At 51.6% G+C, this 26,338-nt stretch overlaps 1 protein-coding gene across 1 annotated transcript in view, besides 2 other annotated features; it reads left to right on the top strand.

Annotated features, from left to right (window-relative positions):
* Window positions 1-26,338, top strand: part of CASTOR2 (cytosolic arginine sensor for mTORC1 subunit 2) — a 66,824-nt gene that overhangs the window by 19,428 nt on the left and 21,058 nt on the right. Inside the window, exon 2 of the mRNA NM_001145064.3 lies at window positions 23,862-23,932. Within this exon, the coding sequence (NP_001138536.1) occupies window positions 23,862-23,932 (71 nt within the window). The remainder of the gene's footprint in view (window positions 1-23,861; window positions 23,933-26,338) is intronic.
* Window positions 9,834-10,454: an enhancer, noted in NCBI's record as "H3K27ac-H3K4me1 hESC enhancer chr7:74408133-74408753 (GRCh37/hg19 assembly coordinates)". NCBI's record gives its function as "activates a minimal SCP1, AML or CMV promoter by ChIP-STARR-seq in naive H9 embryonic stem cells {active_cell/tissue: H9 hESC(naive)}" and the evidence as "EXISTENCE:reporter gene assay evidence [ECO:0000049][PMID:30033119]".
* Window positions 10,647-11,152: an enhancer, noted in NCBI's record as "H3K27ac-H3K4me1 hESC enhancer chr7:74836976-74837481 (GRCh37/hg19 assembly coordinates)". NCBI's record gives its function as "activates a minimal SCP1, AML or CMV promoter by ChIP-STARR-seq in naive H9 embryonic stem cells {active_cell/tissue: H9 hESC(naive)}" and the evidence as "EXISTENCE:reporter gene assay evidence [ECO:0000049][PMID:30033119]".

The raw sequence follows: 26,338 nt of genomic DNA on the forward strand, positions 1-26,338 counted from the left end.
AACCAAGGAATAGAATACCAGGGTCAGACTCAGACTTTGCGTTCAGTAGGCCATGAATACTTGGGTTTTCGCTCAGTTTCTGGGGCATTGAGACTGATAGAAGCAACTGACCCCCTTAGCTAAGGCAGGCAGGCAGGTATTGTCACCAAGAGACCCTGGAGATCAGGAGAGGTTATTTGGGGTTGGGGATCTCCAAGGAGGGGCAGGGAAGTTAGTACCATCGTCGGGCTGGAAATGGGAAGCGTTTGGCTCGTTGGAAGTGGTGAGGCTGGGGTGTGGGACCCTCGCCATGTGACCTACATGGGGTGCTCTCAGTAGAAATTGGGACCTGCCAACCATGGTTGCCTGGGAGAGTTGAAATGCTGGGTGATACAGAACAACAGGCCAGCTGCCATCTCCCCACCTTTGGGAGGGCACCCTCTGATGGTGGGTCCCTGGAGGAAGGGCCCCAGGGACCCAGGAGCCAACACCTCCCTTCCTGCTCCTCTCACTGCTGTTGATGAAGATGACAGTGAGGCTCCCCTTGACTCAGGTTCCTATGGGCCAGGCCCACCGCCATGCCCTTTGGATGCATTATCAACTCAGGTGGGTATGTGACCTCCCCCATGTCTCAGATAAGGAAACCGAGGCCCCAGAGGGTGAGGAACCTGCCCAAAGCCATCTGTATGACTTAGTCAAAGAAGCTAGCTTTGGACTCAGAAGTCTGATTTAAGAGCCACTTGGGCACAGTGGCTCACACCTGTAATCCCAGCCCTTTGGGAGGCCGAGGCAGTCAGATCACCTGAGGTCAGGAGTTCAAGACCAGCCTGGCCAATGGGGTTAGTAGAAACCCCATCTCTACTAAAAATACAAAAATTAGCTGGGTGTGATGGTGCACACCTGTAATCCCAGCTACTCAGGAGGCTGAGACATAAGAATCATTTGAACCCAAGAGGTGGAGATTGCAGTGAGCTGAGATTGAGCCACAGCACTCCATCCTGGGTGACAGAGTGAGACCCTGTCTCAATAAAAAAGAACCACTCTAGACTGTGCCACTCCTCTCTCTATGCAGGGTGGGCCAGTGAGGCTCTGAAATATGGGAGGTCTAGCCCCTTCTCAGGGCAGGTCTGGTTCTGGTCCTCGGGGCTCCCACAGAAGTAAAAGTTGAGCCCCTTTCAAGAGTCACTGTCAGGGGGTTGGGGACAATGGCTCACACTCAGCATTTTGGGAGGCTGAAGTGATGGAGTTGCTTGGGCTTAGAAGCTCGAGACCAGCCTGGGCAACATAGTGAGACCCCCATCTCTACAAAAAAATATACAAGTAGCTGGGCATGGTGATTCCTGCCTGTAGTGCCAACTATTCTGGAGGCTTAGGTGGGAGGATCACTTGAGCCTGGGAGGTTGAGGCTGCAGTAATCATGCCAGTAATCATGCACTCCAGCCTAGGGGCCAAAGATTGAGAAACAGCCTGGCTCAAAAAAAAAAAAAAAAAAAAAAAGAATCATTGTGAGGGGATCTCAGTTCTGCCCTGATCCTCTCATCCCAGCTCTGCCCTCACTAACTGTGACAGTGAGCATGTTCCATTACCCCCCAGGCCTCAGTGTCCCGTCTGCAGAGGGGCATGGCAGAACCTTCCTTAGGGTGGCCTGAGGGTTAGATGGCATCACGGACAGACCAAGCCCAGCACCGCATCTACCAGAGGTGGTTGCTCCAGATGGATACCTGGATAGCTCTTTTTTCCTTAAATCATTTTAGCCAATTTCAGCTTTCCATTTACTCCTTCAGCAGATGCTCACTGAGACACGGATTCCACCTTTATTTATTTGGATTTTTTTGAGACAGAGTCTCACTCTGTTGCCCAGGCTGGAGGGCAGTGGCATTATCTCGGCTCACTGCAACCTCCACCTTCCCGGTTCAAGCGATTCTCCTGCCTTAGCCTCCCAAGTAGCTGCAACTACAGGCGCGCACCACCAAACCCAGCTAATTTTTTTGTATTTTTAGTAGAGATGGGGTTTCGCCACGTTGGCCAGGCTGGTCTTGAACTCCTGACCTCAAGTGATCAGCCCTCCTTGGCCTTCCAAAGTGCTGGGATGACAGGCGTAAGCTGCCACACCCAGCTGGATACTGTCTTTAGAACATGCCTGTGGGGGGTGGATCACAAGGTCAGGAGTTCAAGACCAGCCTGGCCAAGATGGTGAAACCCTGTCTCTACTAAAAATACAAAAAAAGAATTAGCCAGGTGTGGTGACGGGTGCCTGTAATCCCAGCTACTCGGGAGGCTGAGGCAGAGAATTACTTGAAGCCGGGAGGTGGAGGTTATGGTGAGCCAAGATCGTGCCACTGCACTCCAGCCTGGGCAACAGAGGGAGACTCTGTCTCAAAAAAAAAAAAAAAGAAAAGAAAAGAAAAAAAAAGAACATGGCTGCAGGTCTCAGTGTTGCAGAAGGTTCCCATATCTAGAGCCCCAAGGGCCATGCACTGAGCTCAGATACTGCCTGTGGTGCTTCTGATCACCTGCCCCTTACGCCCCCTTCCGAAAATGTGGGTCTGGGAGAAGGTGGTGATTTTAAGACAGCACAGCTCCTACCTATACTGCAGGCCCTGCCCTGCACACCACGTATGTCTGGAATATCCCATGAAAAACAAATGGTTTGGCCAGGTGCAGTGGCTCACGCCTGTCATCCCAGCACTTTGGGAGGCCAAGGAGGGAGGATCACTTGAGGTCAGGAGTTGGAAACCAGCCTGAACAATGTAGTAAGACCCCCATCTTGATAAAATTTTTTAAATTTTTAAAAATTAGCCAGGTGTGGTGGCACACGCCTGTAGTCCCAGCTACTCTGGAGGGCAAGGTGGGAGAATCTCTTGAGCCCAGGAGTTTGAGGCTGGCAGTGCACTCCACCGTGGGCGACAGAGCGAGACCTTGACTTTAAATAACAACAAAAAAATTCAACCATTAGGATCTTCCCCTGTGTTTATGCTACCAAGGAGTGTTTGTTGTCTAAAGCCAGCACCGGCCGGGCGCAGTGGCTCACACCTGTAATCTCAGCACTTCGGGAGGCCAAGGTGGGCAGATCACTTGAGGTCAGGAGTTCAAGACCAGCCTGGCCAACATGGTGAAACCCCATCTCTACTAAAAATACAAAAATTATCCGGGCCTGGTGGCGGGAGCCTGTAATCTCAGCTACTCGGGAGGCTGAGGCAGGAGAATTGCTTCAACCTGGGAAGTGGAGGTTGCAGTGAGCCAAGATCACGCCTCCAGCCTGGGCAACAGAGTGAGATTCTGTCTCAAAAAGAAAAAAAAAAAAAAAAGATGCCAGGATCCCTAAATCCTCCCATAGAAGAAGGAAGGTTCTTAAGTCGCTCAAACACACACATCTGTTGGGAGGGCAGATTCTCCTGCAGTCTGGGCCTTTCTCCCGCAGAGGGCAGGGACAGGTGGCCCAAGGGAGACCAATTCAGGCAATTTGTGTGATCCAGGAAGGCCATGCCTCTGGTCTCCCGAGGGCTTGTTCATCACCCCCGTGGGGAGTCAGGCCCCTCTCACAGTGGCTAGGGAAGACAGAGACTGAGCAGTGAGAAGGTTCTGTCTGGTTTTCTTTTTTTCTTTTAATTTAATTATTTTTTTTCGAGACAGAGCACCTAGGCTGGAGTGCAGTGGCGTGATATCGGCTCACTGCAACCTCCACCTCCCAGGTTCAGGCAATTTTCCCACCTCAGCCTCCTGAGTAGCTGGGATTATAGACACGCACCACACAGCTGGCCAATTTTTGTATTTTTAGTAGAGACAGGGTTTCACCATGTTGGCTAGGCTGGTCTTGATCTCTTGACCTCAAGTGATACACCCGCTTTGGCCTCCCAAAGTGCTGGGATTATAGGTGTGAGTCACTGCGCCTGGCCTTTTTTTTTTTTTAATAATATTTTACAAAAATTGATATTAAACTGTTCTCACTCTTGGCCTCTGGCTTTCACTGCTCATTGCTCATCTGTGTCCAGAGATGGCCGATGGTCACGGGTCACTCCTTTTTTTTTTCTTTTTTGAGACGGAGTCTGGTTCTGTCACCCAGGCTGGAGTTCAGTGGTGCCATCTCGGATCACTGCAATCTCTGCCTCCCGGGTCAAGCAATTCTCCTGCCTCACCCTCCCAAGTAGCTGAGATTACAAGTGCCCGCCACCACACCCGACTTATTTATTTATTTATTTATTTTGAGACTGAGTCTCACTCTGTCGCCCAGGCTGGAGTGCAGTGGCGCGATCTTGGCTCACTGCAAGCTCCGCCTCCCGGGTTCACGCCATTCTCCTGCCTCAGCCTCCCGGGTAGCTGGGACTACAGGTGCCTGCCACTGCGCCCAGCTAATTTTTTATGTTTTTAGTAGAGACAGGGTTTCACCATGTTAGCCAGGATGGTCTTGATTTCCTGACCTCTTGTTCTGCCCACTTCGGCCTCCCAGACTACTGGGATTACAGGCGTGAGCCACCGCACCCGGCCCACGCTCCTTTTTTTTGGTGGACCTCAGGCATGCAGAATTTGATGACTCAGAATTTTTGGTTCGTGACGTACTTATTGATCCTGCTTTTACTTTATGTTTGTTTATCATTTGAATAACACTGCCCCCCACAGCGACCATGACAGTGATGGTAACTGCTGTCTGCCTACATTTATCTTTCCCTTGATTTTTGCAAAGGCTTTCATCCCATTTATATGTATGGAAAAGATACCTGGCAGCCTGCGATCTTCTGAGGCATGCTTTTTTTTTTTTTCATTCCACATTGCATTTCAAAATGCAGAAGATATTCTGTGTTTCTATTACTGTAGAATATTAGGGCATTCAGCCATAACACTGGAGGGAATTTTTCTTTTTTTTTTTTTTGAGACGGAGTCTTGCTCTGTCACCCAGGCTGGAGTGCAGTGGCGCCATCTCGGCTCACTGCAAGCTCCGCCTCCCAGGTTCATGCCATTCTCCTGCCTCAGCCTCCTGAGTAGCTGGGACTACAGGCGCCCGCCACCATGCCCGGCTAATTTTTTTGTATTTTTACAAAATTTTACGGGGTTTCACCGTGTTAGCCAGGATGGTCTCAATCTCCTGACCTCGTGATTCGCCCATCTCGGCCTCCGAAAGTGCTGGGATTACAGGCGTGAGCCACCACGCCTGGCCTTTTTTTTTTTTTTGAGACAGGATCTTGCTTTGCCCAGGCTGGAATGCAGTAGTGCAGTTATAGCTCACTGCAGCCTGGACCTCCTGGGCTCAAGCAGTCCTCCTGCCTCAGCCTCCCAAATAGCTGGGACTACAGGAGCATGCCACCATGCCTGGGTAATTTTTGTTTTGTTTTTGAGATGGAGTCTCGCTCTGTCACCCAGGCTGGAGTGCAGTGGCGCAATCATAGCTCACCACAGCCTCTACCACCCAGGCTCGAGCAATCCTCCCAACTCAGCCACCTGAGTAGCTGAGACTAACCACTGTGTCCGCCTATTTTTTTTTTTTTTTTCTGTAGAGATGGGATCTCACTATGTTGCCCAGGCTGGTCTTGAACTCCCGACTTCAAGCGATCCTCCCACCCCAGCCTCCCAGAATGTTGGGTATGGGTATGAATCACTGCACCCAGCCTGGATTAATCTCAAAAATAATTTATTGAGCAAAATAAACCAGGCAGAAAATAGGACATAATGTGTGTGTTTCCATGGATTTGAAGCACAAAACAGACACAGTGAATCCACGGCACTAGAGACTAGAGCAGTGGCTGCCTCCAGTTGTTGGGAAAGGAGCACGGAACACTTTCTGCAATGATGGGAATGTCCAGTATACTTATCAGGGTGCTGGTTAAATGGGGGATATACACTTGCCAAAAGTCATCTAATTGCCCACCTGAAAATCTGTACATTTTGTTATAGTAAGTTATGCCGCAATTGTAAACGCTGAGTTTGGGGTTAAAAAAAAATACACATCTATAAGAAACCATGACCCAAGCTCAGATTTTATCTCATTAAAAACATGTTTTGGTGCCGGGTGCGGTGGCTCACTCCTGTCATCCCAGCACTTTGGGAGGCCGAGGCGGGCAGATCACAAGGTCAGGAGATGGAGACCATCCTGGCTAACACAGTGAAACCCCGTCTCTACTAAAAATACAAAAAATTAGCCGGGCATGGTAGTGGTTGCCTGTAGTCCCAGCTACTCGGGAGGCTGAGGCAGGAGAATGGAGTGAACCCGGGAGGTGGAGCTTGCAGTGAGCCGAGATTGCGCCACTGCACTCCAGCCTGGATGGCGAGACTCTATCTCAAAAAAAAAAAACAAAAACAAAAAACAACAACAACAACAAAAAAACATGTTTTGGCTAGGTGCAGTGGCTTATACCTGTAATCCCAGCAAATTTGGCAGACCAAGGCAGGAAGATCTCTTGAGCCAGGAGTTCAGGACCAGCTTGTGCAACATAGTGAGACCCTGGTCTCTACAAAAAAATAAAAAATTAGGCTAGGTGCGGTGGCTCACGCCCATAATCCTAGCACTTTGGGAGGCCAAGGCGGGTGGATCGCTTGAGGTCAGGAGTTTGAGACCAGCCTGGCCAACATGGCAAAATCCCATCTCTACTGAAAGTACAAAAATTAGCCAGGTGTGGTGGTGGGTGCTTGTAATCCCAGCTACTCGGGAGGCTGAGGCAGGAGAATCACTTGAATGCGGGAGGCAGAGGTTGCAGGGAGCTGAGATCGTGCCACTGTACTCCAGCCTGGGTGACAGAGTGAGACCCAGTCTCAGAAATAAATAATAAAATAAGAAATTAGTTGGGTGTGGTGGCACACGCCTATAGTCCCAGCATAAATAAAATAAGAAATTAGTTGGGTGTGGCGGCATGCACCTGTAGTCCCAGCTACTCGGGCAGGAGGATCACGTAAGCCCAGGAGTTAGAGGCTGCAGTGAACTGTGATTGGTGCCATTGCACTCCAGCCTGGGTGACAGAGCAAGACCCTGTCTGGAAAAAAAAAAAAAAGGAAAAGAAAAAGAAAATGCCCTCGCACCTAACCACGAGCCACACTATAGTTGGGCGAGCTGGAAGGTGTGAGCATCTGTAGGTCCTCAGCCCATGAAGGTGCCCTGCCTGCCTGGTAGTGGGAGACGCAGTGGCCTTTATCACATTCTCCATAACTGGATATGAGGGAAGCATGGGACCGTGATCCCTGGAGGGACTGCAGGGATTGCCCACGCTAGTCATCTCACTGTACAGCTGGAGAAACTGAAGCCGGGACAAGGAGTGGGCCAAGGTTCCATAGTGAGCAGGGGATGCCCTGTCTGCCTGGCACACCACCCTCCTGTCCAGCCCCCAGTGCCCCTACCCACCCCACCCCAGGCCAGGAGCAGCCCCTGGCACCCAAGACAGGTGCAGAGTCAATCAGCAAATACTACAAGGCTCGCCCAGAACTGGGAGCTGGGGTAGCAGTGACAAAGCCTCCTTGGTCTCTGCCCACTCAGCAGCCCAGGCCAGGGTGGAGTTGGTAAACTTCAGCAGTGATCTAATGGCCAGACACCTCCCTAAGTAGGCACTGACGGTTGGAGGGGAGGTGTGGGTCGTGTTGAGGAGGGGACGTAGTGGAGCATGGTTCGTGAAGGTGTCAACCCTAAGACCTGAAGGCTGGGGAGTGGAATGAGGGTCCCGGGGGAGGATATGGCACACTAAGGAACGAGGAGGGGCCCAGCAGTGGTCACATGGGGGCTGGACAGAAACAGCCCAAATCATGGAGCTGGAAGCCATCCTGGGGCCCTTGGTATTATCGTGGAGACAGTGGGAGCCATGGGAGGTGCTTGACCCAAGGAGTGAGGTCATCACATTTGTGCTTTGAGAAGTGCCTTTGCCTCTACTGTGCAGCGTGGATGGACAGGGTCTCAGGAGACCCAGGAAGAGGCTTGGAAGATGACAGCAGGGATGAAAAAGGCTGGATTTGAGGTCCCCAAGGGGTCAATCGAAGAGGGCTTGGTGAAGGGCAGGCTGGGGGCATGGTGAATCGAGTGGCACACAGCAGGTAGACACCAGGAAGAGTCTGGGTGGGGCTCAGGGGGATGGGTCACTGCTGGAGGTGAAAGGTCTTCCCAGTTCTGGTCCTGTCTCGTGCAAAGTGTGACCTCTGGCAGATCCCATCCCTTCTCTGATCCTGGGTTTTTGTCTAAAGATGATCTATTCCATGCTAAAAGTCTTTCCCCTTAAGATGCTAATCAAGGAACTGTAGGGCCCTGTATGGTGGCTCAATCCTGTAATCCTAACTCTTCGGGAGGCAAAGGTGGGAGGATGGCTTGAGGCCAGGAATTCAAGACCAGCCTGAGCAACATCGTGAGACCCTGTCTCTACACGAAAAGATTTTTTTTTTAAGACGGAGTCTTGCTCTGTCACCCAGGCTGGAGTGCAGTGGCATGATCTCGGCTCACTGCAACCTCTGCCTCCTGGGTTCGAGCGATTCTTCTGCCTCAGCCTCCAGAGTAGCTGGGACTACAGGTGCAGGCCACCATGCCCAGCTATTTTTTGTATTTTTAGTAGAGACGGGGTTTCACCACATTGGCCAGGCTAGTCTCGAACTCCTGACCTCGTGATCTGCCCACCTCAGCCTCCCAAAGTGCTGGGATTACAGGCGTGAGCCACTGTGCCCGGCCTCAAGATTTTTTTAAATCAGCCTGGTATGGTGGTGCATGCTTGTAGTCCCAGCTACTTGGGAGGCTGAGGCAGGAGGATTGCTTGAGCCCAGGAGTGCAAGGCTGCAGTGAGCTATGATCGCACCACTGCACTCCAGCCTGGGGGAAAGAGTGGGACACTGTTTCTTAAAAAACAGAAAAGGGCCAGGTGTGGTGACTCAGGCCTGTAATCCCAGCACTTTGGGAGGCCGAGGCAGGTGGATCATGAGGTCAAGAGATCAAGACTATCCTGGCCAACATGGTGAAACTCCATCTCTTCTAAAAAATACAAAAATTAGCTGGGTGTGGTGGCACGCGCCTGTAGTCCCAGCTACTCGGGAGGCTGAGGCAGGAGAATGGCGTGAACCCAGGAGGGGGATGTTGCATGAGCAGAGATCGCGTGACTGCACTCCAGCCTGGCAACAGAGCAAGACTCCATCTCAAAAAGAGAAAAAGAAAAAGGAAGGCACATAGAGCTTCTAGAAGTCATCTACCCCCAGGATGGAATTAATTGCTCCAGAAAGAAGTGAGTTCCCCATCCCTAGGTGTATGCAAATGCAGGCTGGGCCAGTCTCTGTTCAGGATTCCAGTACTGGAGGAGGCAACAAAAATAGCTTTCCAGACTTGATTCTGGGCTTCTCCGTGCCCCACCTCTACATCTGGGTGGTTCCCTGAAGGTCCTCCTTTGTCTTTTTTTTTTTTTTTTTTTTTTTGAGAGCGAGTCTCACTGTGTCACCCAGGCTGGAGTGCAGTGGTGTGATCTCTGCTCACTGCAACATCCACCTCCTGGGTTCAAGTGATTCTCCTGCTTCAGCCTCTGGAGTAGCTGAGATTACAGGCACCTGCTACCACACCCAGCTAATGTTTGTATTTTTAGTAGAGACAGGGTTTCACCATGTTGCCCAGGCTGGTCTCGAACTCCTGGTCTCAAGTGATCCACCCGCCTCTGCCTCCCAAAGTGCTGGGATTGCAGGTGTGAGCCACCGTGCCTGGCACCCCCCTTTCTTATTTGCTGGTGAACTGGTGGTAAACTGTGCCACAGATTAAAAAAAAAAAAAAAAACACTTGTAATTCTCTTCTCTCTGCTACTTTAGCTGGTTCATAAATCAGACATCTCAGAAAAGGTTTTGCCAGGCAAGTTTACCTGGAAGTGTCTCTCCCCTGCTGCACCCTCCTTCCCCCTCTGCCTTGGGGTTTCAGGTCTGTTGCTGGAACGGGACTCTGGCTGGGCCAGGGCTCCTCGCCCAGGATGCCCGGGGAGAGGCCCCGTGTGAGGGCCTCACTCTGTGGGCTTAGGAATCCCAGAGTAAACAGATCAAGTTACCCGTGTCAGCCGGGCCGTCCACAACAGGCAGCCGCAGCGATTGAAGATGGGAATGTTCTTCTCAGAGATGACTCAGCTACTCAGCTTCTCGGCCCAGATCAGGGGCCACCCTGGGCCTCAGCTCTGCCCTGGTGCTTGGCTCCAGGCCAAGGCCAGGGTTGGGTGGTGGGGGGAACAATGGATTTTGAGAGTCAGCGACTGGTGTGCAATTCTCTTTCACCCCGTCAGGGTGAGGGCACATGTCAACAACTCTGGCAGGGCGAGGGGACCAGCTGCGACCTGGATCATCTATAGGGTGGTGGCTCAGCCTCTCTAAGCCTCAGTTTCCTCATCTGTCAAATGGGCAGCAACAACTATGTCAGAGAGTTGATGGGACAAATGAATCAACCGCCCGGGTGTGGTGGTTCATGCCTGTAATCCCAGCACTTTGGGGGGCCGAGGCGGGTGGATCATGAGATCAGGAGTTCGAGACCAGCCTGGTTAACATAGTGAAACCCCATCTCTACTAAAAAATACGAAAATTAGCCGGGCGTGGTGGCAGGCGCCTGTAATCCCAGCTACTTGGGAGGCTGAGGCAGGAGAATTGCTTGAACCTGGTAGGCAGAGGTTGCGGTGAGCCGAGATTGTGTCGCTGCACTCCAGCCTAGGCAACAAAGCAAGACTCCATCTCCAAAAAAAAAAAAAGAATCAACCAAGGTGGTTGAAGCCAGGGTGCAGGGAGAGAAGTGCAAGTCTGCAGGGAGAGCCTGGACCACGGTGGTTGGAAGCCCAGGAGTGAGCATCTGGGGACAGGGTGTAATAGGAGATGAGAGAGGACCCCTTGAGAGCTGCCTACGCTGGGGAGGAGAAGAGCAGCCACCACAGGAAGCAGAGGACTGTCAGTGTCCAAGACGTCAGAGGAGACCGTGCGGGAGATTGCAGATTCCAGGGAGGCCTTGGCCAGCCATGTGGGTCCAGGCAACAGGTCAAGGGCAGGGAGGCATGAGGGAAGACGTCATCGGGCTGGGCTCAGGGAGGTCACTGATGAACGGAGCGGGATACCCTGGAGGGCTTGAGGAGGTGGCCCAATGGCAGGGGGTCGGGGTAAGGAGGTGGCCTCAGGAGGAGATGGGGATGAAGGAAGACTCTTTTTTTTAGGACATAAGAAACTTGATCCTATTTATTGCTAAGACTAAGAAGCCAAGTATGAAACCGACAGCTCAGGGAGGTGCTTGGGAGAGTCATGAAAGGGGGAAGGAGTTTGCCAGGGTGCTGTTTTCCTGAGGCCAGAGAGAAGGGATCAGATGGGTGGACAGGTCGGGCACAGTGGCTGACACAGTGGCTCACACGTAACCCCAGGACTTTGGGAGGCCGAGGCGGGAAGATGTCTTGAGGCCAGGAGTTCGAGACCAGCCTGAGCAATATAGTGAGACCCTGTCTTTACAAAAAAATGAAAAAAAAAAAAAAGGCCGGGTGCGGTGGCTCACACTTGTAATTCCAACACTTTGGGAGGCCGTGGCGGGCGGGTCACGAGGTCAGGAGATCGAGACCATCCTGGCTAACACAGTGAAACCCTGTCTCTACTAAAAATACAAAAAATTTAGCCAGGTGTGGTGGCAGGCGCCTGTAGTCCCAGCTACTTGGGAGGCTGAGGCAGGAGAATGGCATGAACCTGGGAGGCAGAGCTTGCAGTGAGCCGAGATCACGCCACTGCGCTCCAGCCTGGGCAACAGAGCGAGACTCCATCTCAGAAAAAAAAAAAAAAAATTAGCCAGGCATGGTGGTGTGCACCTGTAGTTGCAGCAACTTGGGAAGCTGAGTTGGGAGGCTCACTTGAGCCCAGAAGTCTGAGGCTGCTGCAGTGAGCTATGATTGCACCATTGCACTCCAGCCTGGGCAACAGAGCAAGACCTTATCTCAAAAAAAAAAGATGGGCGAATGATCAGAGACTTTCTGAGAGGGTGCCCTCCCCAGTTGGTCTGTGTCTTAGGAAATCTGGGGTGTGTGTTGGGGTGCTGAGCGTGGCAGAGGGGCAGGGGTGGAAGAGGTCTGGGGGAGGGAGGGTTAAGCTCACCCAGCAATGGGTAGATGGGCCCCGGTGGCAGGAAAGGGGGATTTCTGAGCTGCATGTCTTTGCTGAGGGTGAGTTTGGGCAGGGGTCATCTAAGGATGGGGCCAGCCGAGGGGCCCCCAGGAACACCCAGCCCCACAGGCCAGCAGTACACGGTAGGGTTGGAGTGGTGGTGGCCGCAGGAGATGAGTGTGACCGGGAACCAGGGCCACTCCGAGAGTTACCATGTGACAGGACAACAACTCCAGCCCATGCCCCAGCGTGTCCCCAAAGTCCTTTAATAGCAAGGCCTCCAGAGAATGTTGCGTCCCAATTCATAGTGTCAGGGCAGGACTGCAGGTTGCTTTAGGGTCAAATATTTCCATTGTGGTCTTCAGCATGTTGACACAAAACTGTCTGCATGCTTGGAAAGGTCAGAGGTTGTGTGTCTCGGTGTGCGTTCTCAGCTCTGGTGTAAGGAACACAGAAGGTTGAATGAGCTTCTGGTTATGTCAGGGAAAGACCAGGGAAGTGTCGTGCCATTAACCAAAACCAGAAATGGATGCATGGATGCTGTTTATGAAAGCAACCACAGCATGCCTGGTGCTTTTTTTTTTTTTTTTTTTTTTTTTTTTTTGGAGACAGAATCTTACTCTGTCACCCAGGCTGGAGTGCAGTGGCGCGATCTCGGCTCACTGCAACCTTCGCCTCCCAGGTTCAAGCAATTCTTCCGCCTCAGCCTCCTGAGTAGCTGGGATTACAGGTGCCTGCCACCACGCCCGGCTAATTTTTTTGTGTGTGTTTTTAGTAGAGACGGGGTTTCACCATGTTGGCCAGGTTGGTCTCAAACTCCTGACCTCAGGTGAACCACCCCCCTCGGCCTCCCAAAGTGCTGGGATTACAGGCATGAGCCACCGCGCCCAGCCGCCTGGTGCTTTTTTAATTTTATTTTTTATTTTTGAGACAAGGTCTTACACTGTCACCTAGGTTGGAGTGCAGTGGTGCAATCATAGCTCATCACTGCAGCCTCGACCTCCTGGGCTCGAGCAATCCTCCTTCCTCAGCCTCCTGAGTAGCTGGGACTACAGGTGCATGTTACCAGGCCCTGCTAATATTTTTTTTTAGATTATTTTTTGTAGAGACAGGATCTCACTGTGTTGCCCAGGCTGGTCACCTGGTGCTTTTATCTGCAAAGGGACATTGATTCCTCACCCTGGTTCCTGAAGGCAGACAGTAGATACCCCTCTTGGAAGTTTGGGGAACAGGCTCAGGAGCTGTGTAAATATGCCCAAGACCACAGGATCGGACTGCCAACTCCAAAGCATTGCCTTTTTTTTTTTTTTTGAGACAGAGTCTTGCTAGTCCGGAGAGCAGTGGCGTGATCTTAGCTCACTGCAGCCTCGAACTCCCAGGTTCAAGCGATTCTTGTGCTTCAGCCCCCCAAGTAGCTAGGATTACAGGCATGTGCCACTATGCCAGGCTAATTTTTGTATTTTTAGTAGAGATGGGTTTTCACCATGTTGGCCAGGCTGGGCTCGAACTCCTGACCTCAAGTGATCTGCTTGCCTTGGCCTCCCCAAAGTGATGGGATTACAGGCATGAACCACTGTGCCTGACCAGGTGTTTTTGTTTTTTTTTTTTAATCATAGGTACTTGTAACTCTGTAAAAAGTCTACCCTGCCATACACAATGTCTGGGGACTTGTTTTTCAACCCACAGTGCTGTGACATTGCTGACACTTGTTTATCTCTTTGCTTAACACTGTGGATGGTTCATGTGTTGCCTGCTGGGTAATATTCTGCCATTCTTCATGTCCTCTTCTGCTGATGGGCGTCTGGGCTGTGGCCAGGTTTTTGTTACTGAGAACAGGCTGTCACGGATCCTCTTGTCTGTGTCTCCCGTTACATATCTGTAAAGGGTGGATGTCTCAGAATGGAAATGCTGAGTCATGGGGCGTATGCTACAAGTCCCCCCTGCCTTCAGAAAGCCCCCAACCCATAGAGGCAGTTCAGCCCCGGCTCGGCAGACCCCAGGCAGCTAACTCCTTTAACCCAACTAAGCTTCGGTTTTCCCGTCTGTGAAATGGGAATCATTCTACAGCACATTCATTAAGGTCACACTGATTACAGACCTCGTACCAAGCCCTGTGCTGGGCATGGCGGCCCTGGAGGAGGAGATGCAGCCTTGTCTCTTGCTCGCAAAGACAGAAATGGGGCCGGGCACGGTGGCTCACACTTGTAATCCCAGCACTTTGGGAGGCTGAGGTGGGTGGATCACCTGAGGTCAGGGGTTGGAGACCAGCCTGGCCAACATGGCGAAACCCCATCTCTACTAAAAATACAAAATTAGCGGGGCATGGTGGCACACGCCTGTAATCCCGGCTACTCGGGGAGCTGAGGCAGGAGAATCGCTTGAACATGGGAGACAGAAGTTGCAGTGAGCCGAGATCGCACCACTGCACTCCAGCCTGGGCGACAGTGAGACTCCATCTCAAAAAAAAAAAAAAAAGGCAGACAGACGTGGAAGTGATTAATCTCAGTACTATGATGGATATCACCATGGCTAGGGAGGTGATAGGCTGGTGGGGGTGAAAGGAAGTTGGGCTGGGGACCATGAGAATTGGGGAGATCCAAAATCAGTGATTATTTTGCACCAAGACCTGACAAGCAGAAGGTATACTCTTGTCTACAAGGACTGAGATCTCCTGGAGGGGAGCCTGGGTTCCTGGGGCTTTCCCCCAGATCTTTGTGATTTCTTCTGCCCTATCCGTCCCCTTTGGTAACGCTGCCTCTCCATAATCACCCTGGAATTTGCCAAACACCATCACCCACGCTGTCTGATTGGATTCTCCTGGTCGCCCGTGACACAAGCACATTTTATTTTCTATCTTTTTTTTTTGTTTTTTGAGATGGAGTCTCGCTCTGTTGCCCAGGCTGGGGTGCAGTGGCGCGATCTCAGCTCACTGCAAGCTCCACCTCCTGTGCTCACACCATTCTCCTGCCTCAGCCTCCCGAGTAGCTGGGACTACAGGCGCCCGCCACCATGCCCAGCTAATTTTTTGTATTTTTATTTTTATTTTTTTTAGTAGAGACAGGGTTTAACCGTGTTAGCCAGGATGGTCTCGATCTCCTGACCTCGTGATCCACCCGCCTCGGCTTCCCCAAGTGCTGGGATTACAAGCATGAGCCACCGCGCCCGACCTTATTTTCTATCTTAAGGCAAAATAACTCCTGTTCAGGATCGCCCTTCCAATTGCAGAACCAATTAAGGGCCTTTTTCTAAGTAAAACTTGAAAGGGCAGCTTCTAGTTGCTAAGGACAGGAGAAATGAAATGTAAATAACAGGAGAGACCCATTGAAAACCCAGGAGAAACAGATGAAAAAGCTGCAGCTGGTTAGCAGAACAAAGCTGGGCACTCACCCTCCCCCTGATTTTCCTCTGGGAAGAAAAGCCCCATGAACTGTGGCCCCGAAACACTTCTATCACTCACTGCTTTTTTTTTTTTTTTTTTTTTTTTTTTTTTTTTTTGAGACGGAATCTCGCTCTGTCTCCAAGCTGGAGTGCAGTGGCGTGATCTTGGCTCACTGCAACCCCTGCCTCCCAGATTCAAGTGATTCTCTCGCCCCAGCCTCCCGAGTAGCTGGGACTACAGGTGCACACCACCATGCCCAGCTAATTTTTGTATTTTTAGTAGAGACGGGGTTTCACCTTGTCCCGGATGGTCTTGATCTCTTGACCTTGTGATCCGCCTGCCTTGGCCTTCCAAAGTGCTGGGATTACAGGCATGAGCCACTGCGCCCGGCCACTCACTGCGTGTTTTAAAAGGCCCCTGTCAGCTGGGTGCACTGGCTCGCAACTGTAATCCCAGTACTTTGGGAGGCCGAGGCTTGGGAGGATCGCTTGAGGTCAGGAATTCGAGACCAGCCTGGGCAATATAGCAAGACCCCGTCTCCACAAACATTTAAAAATTAGCCAGCCATGGTGATGTGCATCTATAGTCCCAGCTACTCAGGAGGCTGAGGTGGGAGGATCGCTTGAGCCCAGGAGTTGGAGGCTGCAGTGAACTATGATCATGCCAGTGCACTCCAGCCTGGGTGACAGAGCAAGACACTGTCTCTAAAGGAATGAATGAATGCATGAATGCTACTATTAGCCACATCAGTAAAACATCAGCAGGGAGGCAGCCAGAAGTTGGCTGGCAGGGGCAGGGGTGGGCGGTCTCCAGAAGCAGGTGAGGCCCTGATCCCTTCATTCCCTCACTTGGATAGGCTGCAGGAGATGTGGCCAAACTCCCTCATTCCAGACAGAACGGGCCACACTTTGCAAGAAACACCCCTGTCCTTCCAGGCTGGTGCTGTAATCCCAAGTGGGCTGAGAAAGGACCTGCTTTAAGTAAGGCCCGAGAATGTTTTGTAAACAGGCGCCCATAACATCCAAGACACCTGTCTTGGGGCATGTTTGCAGAGCCTCTCTGGTTTGGGTGGGTGGGTCACTTGAGCAGTGAAGGCTCTGGGCTTGTTTCAAAACCCCGCTGGCCAGGCTCTTTTTTGTTTGTTTGTTTGTTTTTGAGATGGAGTCTCGCTCTGTCACCCAGTCTGGAGTGCAGTGGCACAATCTCGACTCAACTGCAGTCTCCACCTCCCCGGTTCAAGCAATTCTGCATCAGCCTCCCGAGTAGCTGGGACTACAGGTGTGCACCACCACACCTGGCTAATTTTTTGTATTTTTAGTAGAGGTAGAGATGGGGTTTCACCATGTTGGCCAGGCTGGTCTCGAACTCCTGACCTCAGGTGAGCCACCTGCCTCTGCCTCCCAAAGTGCTGGCATTACAGGCATGATCCACCGCACCCGGCAGGCCAGGCCGTTAATTCCAAAGGTCCTGGCTTGTTCCCAGGCAAGCTAGCAGGTGACCTTGGCAGAGTCTGGCTGACACAGGGCATGGTGACCCTGCAGGAATCAAGCCTGCATCTTTTATTTTATTTTTTTAAGACAGGATCTCACTGTGTCACCCAGCCTGGAGTGCAGTGGTGCAATCACGGCTCACTGCAACCTCCGCCTCCCAGGCCCAAGTGATCCTCCCACCTCTGCCTCCTGAGTAGCTGAGACTACAGGGGCACACCACCATGCTCAGGTAATTTTTAAATTTTTTTGTAGAGATGGAGTCTTACCATGTTGCCCAGGCTGGTCTCAAACTCCTGGGCTCAAGTGATACCCCTGCCTTGGCCTCCACAAGTGCTGAGATTACAGATGTGAGCCACTGCGCCCGGCCTCCCACCTGGAGTTTTTTAACAGCACTTAGCACCCACACTGGGTACTTTCTGGCATTTGCTCCTCTTTCCAGCTCTTTGTAGGCAGAGTACAGAGAGGCCACAAACCCCGGGGGCCCGGCATCTGGGGTGTGGACCTGGCCATGACTCATTAGAAAAGGCGGAGAGAGAATTAGAACTGGAGACCTTAGCTTCTCCAAGAGGAGGGTTAAGTCAAGGTGATACCACATGAGGGCGGACAGGGTTTGTTCTCTTTGAGGCTTCTCTGATTTTGAAGGCAAGTGTGTGGCCACAGTCCATCCTTTCGCTCAGCAATCCTTGAGTGTTGATTCCATGCCCAGCCAGTGTCAGATACAAGGTGTGTGTACGGAGGACCCTCTGTCCTTGCTTCTGAGAGCTGTGGTCTACTGAGGGAAGTAGACCCTTAAAGTATGATTTGTAATAGTTTGTGGGAAGCACTCGGCACTGTCATGCGCAGTTGGATGGGTTGTGCACTGCACAACTCTAAGGGCATACTTCACATAGGACTGTGAGATGAACTGTATCCTTGGGCTGTGATGCACCACCAGCCCAGCTGTCCACAGTGGCCTGAAAGTCATCCAATAGACATAGTGTGGGGCTGTAGGCTGTCAAAGGAGGACAACCTCTATGATGGGAGATGAGGGAAAGGAAGTGGCTGGTGTTGATCAGGCAGGGTTTTATTTTATTTTATTTTATTTTTTGAATTTTTAGTAGAGACAGGGTTTCACCATGTTGGCCAGACTGGTCTCAAACTCCCAACCTCAAGAGATCCATTCACCTCCACCTCCCAAAGTTCTGGGATTACAGGTATGAGCCACCATGCCTGGCCAGGAAAGGTTTTACCCCAGAGGAGATGTTTGAACTGAGTCTTAAAGGATGAACATGAAATCTTCAGCCAACAAAGTTGGGAGGCTATGCTGGGTAGCTGAAAGAACATTTAGGCTGGGCGAGGTGGGTCATGCCTGTAATCCCAGCACTTTGGGAGGCTGAGGCGGGTGGATCTTCTGAGGTCAGGAGTTTGAGACCAGCCTGGCCAACATGGTGAAACCCTGTCTCTGCTAAAAACTCCAAAAAATTAGCTGGATGTGGTGGCAGGCGCCTGTAATCCCAGCTACCTGGGAGGCTGAGGCTGGAGAATCTCTTGAACCCCAGAGGCAGAGGTTGCAGTGAGCCAAGATGGCACCACTGCACTCCAGCCTGGGCAACAAGAGCAAAACTTCATCTCAAATAAAAAAGAAAGAACATTCGTCACTGTTGGAGGCATGAGACTGTGGAGGCAGGGGCGTTGAGGCCAGGAGTGGAAGAGGGAGACAAGACAGGAGGGTAGTCCAGCCTTGAGTTTGCTTTGTGGGGAGTGGTGGAGAGGCGAAAACGGATCTCAGAGTGACCTTCGAGTATAGAAGACATGGGGTCCTGTGGAGTGGCTCACACCCATAATCCCAGCACTTTGGGAGGTGGAGGTGGGAGGATCACTTGAGGCCAGGAGTTCAAGACCCGCCTGGGCAACATAGCAAGATCCCATCTCTATAAAAATTTAAAAAATTAGCTGGGTGTGGTGGTGTGCACCTGTAATCCCGGGTACTTGGGAGGCTAAGGATGGCCTGCAAGGGGGTGCTGTGCTTGGACTGGGGAATGGCCAACTGCCCGGCAATAGGGGGATGACTTCAAGAAGCAAGGACAGGAGGGTTAAGCTTGATAAGACAAGAAACACAGCAGATGTAATCCAAAGGCAAAGGGGGACCTGTAGCTTGAATTAAGAAGTGGTGTGGGCTGGGCGCAGTGACTCACTCCTATAATCCGAGCACTTTGGGAGGCCAAGGCAGAAGGATCACTTGAGCTCAGGAGTGCAAGACCAGTCGGGGCAACATAGTGAGACCCTGTCTCTACAAAAAATAAAAAATTAGCCGGCTGGGCTTGGGTAATGCACGCCTGTAGTCCAAGCTAGTTGGGAGGCTGAGCTAGGAGGATTGCTTGAGCCCAGGAGGCAAGGCCACAGTGAGCCAAGATCATGCCACTGCACTCCAGCCTGGGCAACAGAGCAAGAGCCTGTCTCAAAAAAGAAAAAAAAAAAAGGCCGGGCATGGTGGCTCACGCCTATAATCCCAGCACTTTGGGAGGCCGAGGCGGGCAGATCACGAGGTCAGGAGATCGAGACCATCCTGGCTAACACGATGAAACCCTGTCTCTACTAAAAATACAAAAAATTAGTTGGGCGTGGTGGCGTGCGCCTGTAGTCTCAGCTACTCTGGAGGCTGAGGCAGGAGAATGGCGTGAACCCAGGAGGCGGAGCTTGCAGTGAGCCGAGATTGCGCCACTGCACTCAGCCTGGGTAACAGAGCGAGACTCCATCTCAAAAAAAAAACAGAAAACAACAACAACAAGGAGGTCAAGGAGAGGGAGGAGTCTGGGGGCTGACTCCTGAGGGTAGTGACCAGAGCAACGGCAGCCGGTGCCTCTGGCTAATCTGCCCTCCCCGAAGCCCACCCGTGCCAAGGTGCACATTCCGAGATGTCCCCTAGCTCAGCCCCTGGGGACAGGTCACTTCAACAACATATTTATACTCCATTTACACACAGGCCGCTGTTGCCTTCTGCTGGTGTTTATGCCCTCCGGAATAATTTGTGCGGTCTATTTCTGGAGTGTCCCTCAGAGCCGAGGGCGCCGGGAGCAAGGGCCGCGTCTGTTTGCCTCCCCGGGGCTCTCGGGCAGCTGGGCAGCCCCGCCCCACCCAGGGAGTACCAGCTCATGGCAGTCTGGTGACTGTGGGAGTCCAGGGCTCTTTCTGAGTTCCTGGGGGTCCCTAGGAAGGGTCCGGGCCTGACCAGTGATTGCCACTTACTGTGGTGATAATTTGCTGTTGTCCTCAAAGCAATTATAGATTTCACGTGTCCAGGCAATACTTGCAAATTGGATATGGGACAGGCAGGGACTGAGACGTAATTTGAAAACCGAAGAGCCAGAGGGAAATTGATGAGCGTGGGTGGTTGTTCCAGCAGAATGCCTTACGCCCCTCCCAGGGGGAGAGAGGCCACCTCATGGATGACCCTAGCACAGGCTTTTTTTTTTTTTTCCCCCCGAGATGGAGTGGCTCTGTTGCCTAGGCTGGAGTGCAGTGGCACGATCTCAGCTCACAGCAACCTCCCAGGTTCAAGTAATTCTCCTGCCTCAGCCTCCCAAGTGGCTGGGATTACAGACGCCCACCACCACGCCGGGCTAATTTTTATATTTTTAGTAGAATTGGGGTTTTGCCATGTTGGCCAGGCTGGTCTCAAACTCCTGACCTCGAGTGATCCGCCCACCTCAGCCTCCCAAAATGCTGGGATTACAGGCATGAGCCACCGCAGCAGGCCAAGCATTTTCTTTACATTCAAGTTTATCAAGGTATGACTTACATACAGCGTAATTCACAAATTCACCCCTTTTTAGCAGATAGTTCTTTGGGTTTTGACAAATTTGTATGATCTTGTGAGGTTTTTTTGTTTTTTTGAGGTGGAGTCTGAATCTAGTCACCCAGGCTGGAGTGTAGTGGCGTGATCTTGGCTCATTGCAACCTCCACCTCCCGGGTTCAAGTGAGTCTTCTGCCTCTGCCTCCCCAGTAGTTGGGATTACAGGTGCCCACTGCCACGCCTGGCTAATTTTTGCATTTTTTTGTAGAGACAGGGTTTCACCATGTTGGCCAGGCTGGTCTCGAACTCCTGACCTCAGGTGATCCAACCACCACTGCCTCGCAAAGTGCTGGGATTACAGGCGTGAGCCACCGCACCCGGCCTAAATTTATGTGAATTTATATGATCTTGTAACCACTGCCACACTCAAGAGGCCCATCCCCCCAGAATTTCCCAGTGCCCCTCTCTAGTCAGTGTCTACCCGTCCCCTGATAACTGCTAATCATTTGTCCCTATAGTTTGGCCTCTCCAGAATGTCATATGAATAGAAACATACAGTATAGAATCTTTTGAGCTTGGCTGCTTTAACTTAGCAAAATGCACTTTAGATCTACCCATGTTAATGCACGAATCAGTAGTTTATTCCTTTTAATTGCTGACCCGTATTTCCTCATGTGGACATGCCTTAGTTTATCCTCTCTCCAGTTGAAGGAAGGACATTCTTTGTCCTTTTTGTTTCCAATTTAGGAAACAAAAATTGTGTCCATTGTTGTTTCCAATTTAGGGCAAATACAAACAGGCAATATGTATTTGCACCTAAGTCTTTGTGCGGGCACCTGTTCTCACTTCTCGCGGATGAATACCCAGGAGCAGGATAGCTGAGGCTGGGTGGTCAATGTGTGCTGAACTTTATAAGAAATTGCCGGCTGGGTGCAGTGGCTTACAAATGTAATCCCAGCACTTTGGAAAGCCAAAGAGGGAGGATTGCTTGAGGACAAGAGTTCAAGACGACAACACAGCAAGACCTGATCTCTACAAAAACAACTTTAAAAACTAGCTGGACAGTCTGGGCACAGTGGCTCATGCCTATAATCCCAGCACTTTGGGATGCTGAGGCGGGTGGATCACTTGAAGTAAGGAGTTCGAGACCAGCCTGGCCAACATGGAGAAACCTTGTCTTCACTAAAAATACAAAAATTAGCCAGATGTGGTGGTGGGCGCCTGTAAGCCCAGCTACTGGGGAGGCTGAGGCAGGAAAATCACTTGAACCTGGGAGGCGGAGGTTGCAGTGAGCTGAGATCATGCCACTGCACTAGCCTCGGTGACAGGGTGAGAGACTGTCTCAAAAAATTTAGCTGGACATGGTATTGTGTGCCTGTAGTTCCAGCTACTCAGGAGACTGAGGCAGGGGGATTGCTTGAGCCCAGGCGTTCAAGGCTTCCATGAGCTGTGATTGCATCACTGCACTCCAGACTAGGTGATGGAGCAAGACCCTGACTCTAAAAAGAAGAAAGAAACTGCCAAATGAATGTTTGAAGGGCTGGGCCATTTTGTACTCCCACCAGCAGCATGAGAGAGTTCCAGTGGCTCCATATCCTTGTGAAAATTTTCAGGAATAAGTTTTGAAAAGGAGCTGGAGAGGTTCTATAGATGAGGGGGCTGCAGGGCAGCTGGCAGGAGAGGAGGCCAGGGAGAAGGGTGACCCATGGATACACCAGCCACCCCCATCCCCTGCAACACTGTCCACTCAAAGATCCCTTTTCCATTTGCATCTTTTGAGAGAGTGATACTTGCCCTTTGCCTGGTGATATGGTTTGGCTGTGTCCCACCCAAATCTCACCTTGAATTGTAATAATCCCCACGTGTCAAGGGTGGGGGCAGGTGGAGATAATTGAATCATGGGGGTGGTCTCCCTCATACTGTTCTCCTGGCAGTGAATAAGTCTCACGAGATCTGATGGTTTTATAAAGGGTAGTTCCCCTGCACATGCTCTCTTGCCTGTTGCCATGTAAGACATGCCTTAGCTCCTTCTTTGCCTTCTGTCATGATTGTGAGCACCCCCGCCCCCCCAGCCCCGCCAACCACCAACCAGCCATGTGGAACTATGAGTCCATTAAACCTTTTCCCTTTATAAATTACCCAGTCTCGGGTATGTGTTTATTAGCAGCATGAGAACAGACAAATACACCTGGGTTACTCATGGGCTTCTTTCTGTCCCAGCTCCCCTCAATGGGTGGGGGTGCAGAGCCCATGCCCGGCTTTGTGCTGGAGAGCCGGAACACCAGATAAGTGGCCAGGGGTCAGTTTCCTGCAAGCCTCTGCCTGTGCACACTTGGACTTGCCATCTCTGCCTGCAATACTCTCTAGGGTGCAGTGGGGGTGCGGTTCTGGCTAAATGGGGAACAGGGACATGGGTGTTGAGGGGATGATGACCCCCATCACCCAAGGACCAAAAGCCTAGAAGCTCAGCCCAAGGGCCACCTGGACACAGACCTGGGCACCAAAACCATGCCCAGGACCGAGGCCAGCAGGGTCAGGGTTCTGGTCCCTGTTTTTGGAGAATAGATGGTTTTGTTTTGCGGGTAGATGAGCAACATACCTCCCAGGCTGAGTGGTGCTATCAGAGATGATGTGAGGTGGGGCAGAGATCCATGTCCCAAAAATGTCACGGATGGCTGCATTCCTCTCTCTTTAGGGATGGAAAATAAACCGAGGGCTGGGCTGTCAGTCAGCTGGTGGGAATTAGGCATTTTTATGACTTGGAGCTCCAGAGTTGCTGAGGAGGAGGCCAAGTCAATGGGAGGGGAGATGGGAACAGACACCTAGAGGTTACAGTGGCAGAGCCATGGAAAAGACAGCTCCTCTGCCTGACCCACACTGGAGCCACCCTTCGGCCACTTCTTCCCTCCGAGAAAACTTGGGATCTTGGGCCCTCAGGCCTGGACACAGTCATAGGGGCTGACTGGCTCCGAGGTCCCCAAAGATTGCGGGGGTATAGTGGGGACAATCAGCATCTCTGTGCCTCTCCTGAGTGAGAACTGAGTAGGGGGACATGAAGGGAGAGATAAACAACTTACCCGCGGTCACCCCAGCAGCCTGGGGCCGGAACTCTGGGTGAACTGAGTCATCATCCCCAGGGCACGGGTGGGCAGCTGCCCCAGGGGACCTGCCTGGACTAATGAGATATTCTGTGTCTGTCCATCCATCCAGGTGCAAGTTCTTCAGTCTGACTGAGACGCCAGAGGATTACACTATCATTGTCGATGAGGAAGGATTCCTAGGTAAGTGCTTCTCTCCCTAGGGGCTCGGCTGGACCATGCCCCGAAGTCAGGGCTGGCTGCCCACCTCCTTATTTCTGTCCCCCGCCCACCTCCTTATTTCTGCCCCCACCTACCTCCTTACTTCTGCCCTCATCTGCTGGTCAGCTGGAAAAACAGCAGAGTGTATTTCCTTCTCTCCCTGGCTTCTGGAGGGTCCCCTCCCTGGGTTCTGGAGGGTCCCCTCCCCTCCTGCTCTTGAGATTGCCCTAGGAAAGACTCCTGAGTAGTAAGTAGGTACGGCGCTACCCAGCTGAGAATTAGATCAACCCAGAAGAAAAGGAACATGTTTCACTGAAACCTACAAAGTGCTTTAGAACATCTTCAGTCGGGCGCAGTGGCTCACGCTTTTAGTCTCAACACTGTGGGAGGATCACTTGAGCCCAGGAGTTTGAGACCAGCCTGGGCATAGTGAGACCCCGTCTCTACTAAAACGTTACTTTAAATTAACTGGACATGATGGCATGTTCCTGTGGTCCCAGCTACTTGAGAGACCGAGGCAGGAGGATCGTTTGAGCCCAGGAGTTGGAGGCTGCAGTGAGCTGTTATTGAACCACTGCTTTCCAGGCTGGAAGACAGAGCGAAACTCTATCTCTTAAAAATAAAAAAAATAAAGAAAAGTGTCTAGCTGGCAAGGGCACAGTTTAAGAGGACTTCCCAGAATTCAAGCAACACTTGAAGTGAACCCAGCTAAGAGTAAAGAGCCAGGCATGGTGGTGTATGCCTCTACTACCAGCTACTTGGGAGGCTGAGGTGGGAGGATTGCTTAAACCCAGGAGTTTGAGACTGTAGTGTGCCATGATCACGTCTGTGAATAGCCACTGCACTCCAGCCTGGGCAACATGATGAGAACCTGTTTTTTGTTTTTTGTTTTGAGATGGAGTCTCACTCTGTCACCCAGGCTGGAGTGCAATGGCACGATCTCGGCTCACTGCAACCTCCACCTCCCAGGTTCAAGCCATTCTCCTGCCTCAGCCTCCCAAGTAGCTGGGATTACAGGTGCCCGCCGCCACGCCCGGCTAATGTTTGTATTTTTTAGTAGAGATGGAGATTCACCCTGTTGGCCAGGATCGTCTTGATCTCCTGACCTCATGATCCACCCGCCTCGTCCTCCCAAAGTGCTGAGATTACAGGCATGAGCCACCTTGCCTGGCCTGAGAACTTTTTTTTTTTTTTTTTTTTTTTTTGAGACGGAGTCTCGCTCTATGGCCCAGGCTGGAGTGCAGTGGTGTGATCTCAGCACTGCAAGCTCCGCCTCCCAGGTTCACACCATTCTCCTGCCTCAGTCTCCCGAGTAGCTGGGACTACAGGCGCCCGCCACCACGCCCGGCTAATTTTTTGTATTTTTTAGTAGAGATGGGGTTTCACCGTGTTAACCAGGATGGTCTCGATCTCCTGACCTCGTGATCCACCCACCTCGGCCTCCCAAAATGCTGGGATTACAGGCGTGAGCCACCGCGCCCGGCCCTGAGAACCTATTTCTGAAAAAAAATTAAAATTAAAATTAAGTGGCCCCCCCCGCCCCCACCAGGTGGAAAACATTAATGGAGGGGCACTTTCCAGGCAGAGAGAACCCCATGTGTGTACAGCCACAGCTTCTAGTACTGGGGACACACTTGGCATCCCCAGGGAACTAGAGTGTGAGAAGAGAGACAGGAGGACAGGGCTTGCCTGGAAGAGGAGGGATCAGGAAAGATTCCTCCATGTGGCTGCACACACATGCGCTTCTCTGCCTGGAAAGCACCCCTCCCTTCATGGTTTCTACCTGGCATGCAGGCACTTAATTTTTTTTTTTTTTTTTTTTTTTAAGAAACAGGTTCTTGCTATGTTGCCCAGGCTGGAGTACAGTGGCTAATCACAGGTATGATCGTAGTGCATAGCAGCCTTAGACTCCTGGGCTCAAGCAATCCTCCCACCTCAGCCTCCCGAGTAGCTGAGAGTAGAGGCGTGTACTGCTGTGCCTGGCTCTAGGCTTTTTCCTGAACTCCCCTCCTATACTTTATTTGGGTTAGAAGCAGCATGGGGAGACTTCTGCAGCATGGTCCTTTCTGGGGGCTCAAAAGCGGAAGTTCCTGGTGAGCTCATGTGGTCATGGAGGACTTCCTGGAGGAGGTGATATTTTTGCTGGCCTTGTGGGGAAGGAAGAAAACATGTCAGAGGAGAGTTGAATGAGAAAGTACAGGAGCAGAAGCAAGGGCCAGGTCCAGCCTCTAAAAAAGGGGAAGACAGAGGTAGGCAGGGTAAGTTTGGATCTTATTCTTCAGGCACTGGGGAGCCACTGAAGGTTGTTGGGCTGGGTTAGGGCTGAGTTGGGGTAGAGTCTCCTGGGGTGTGTGTGTGCAGGAGAGGGAACAAGGAGTGAAGTAGGAA

The sequence above is a fragment of the Homo sapiens genome, chromosome 7 (genome assembly GCF_000001405.40).
Source record: "Homo sapiens chromosome 7, GRCh38.p14 Primary Assembly".
Classification (NCBI taxonomy): Eukaryota; Metazoa; Chordata; class Mammalia; order Primates; family Hominidae; genus Homo; species Homo sapiens.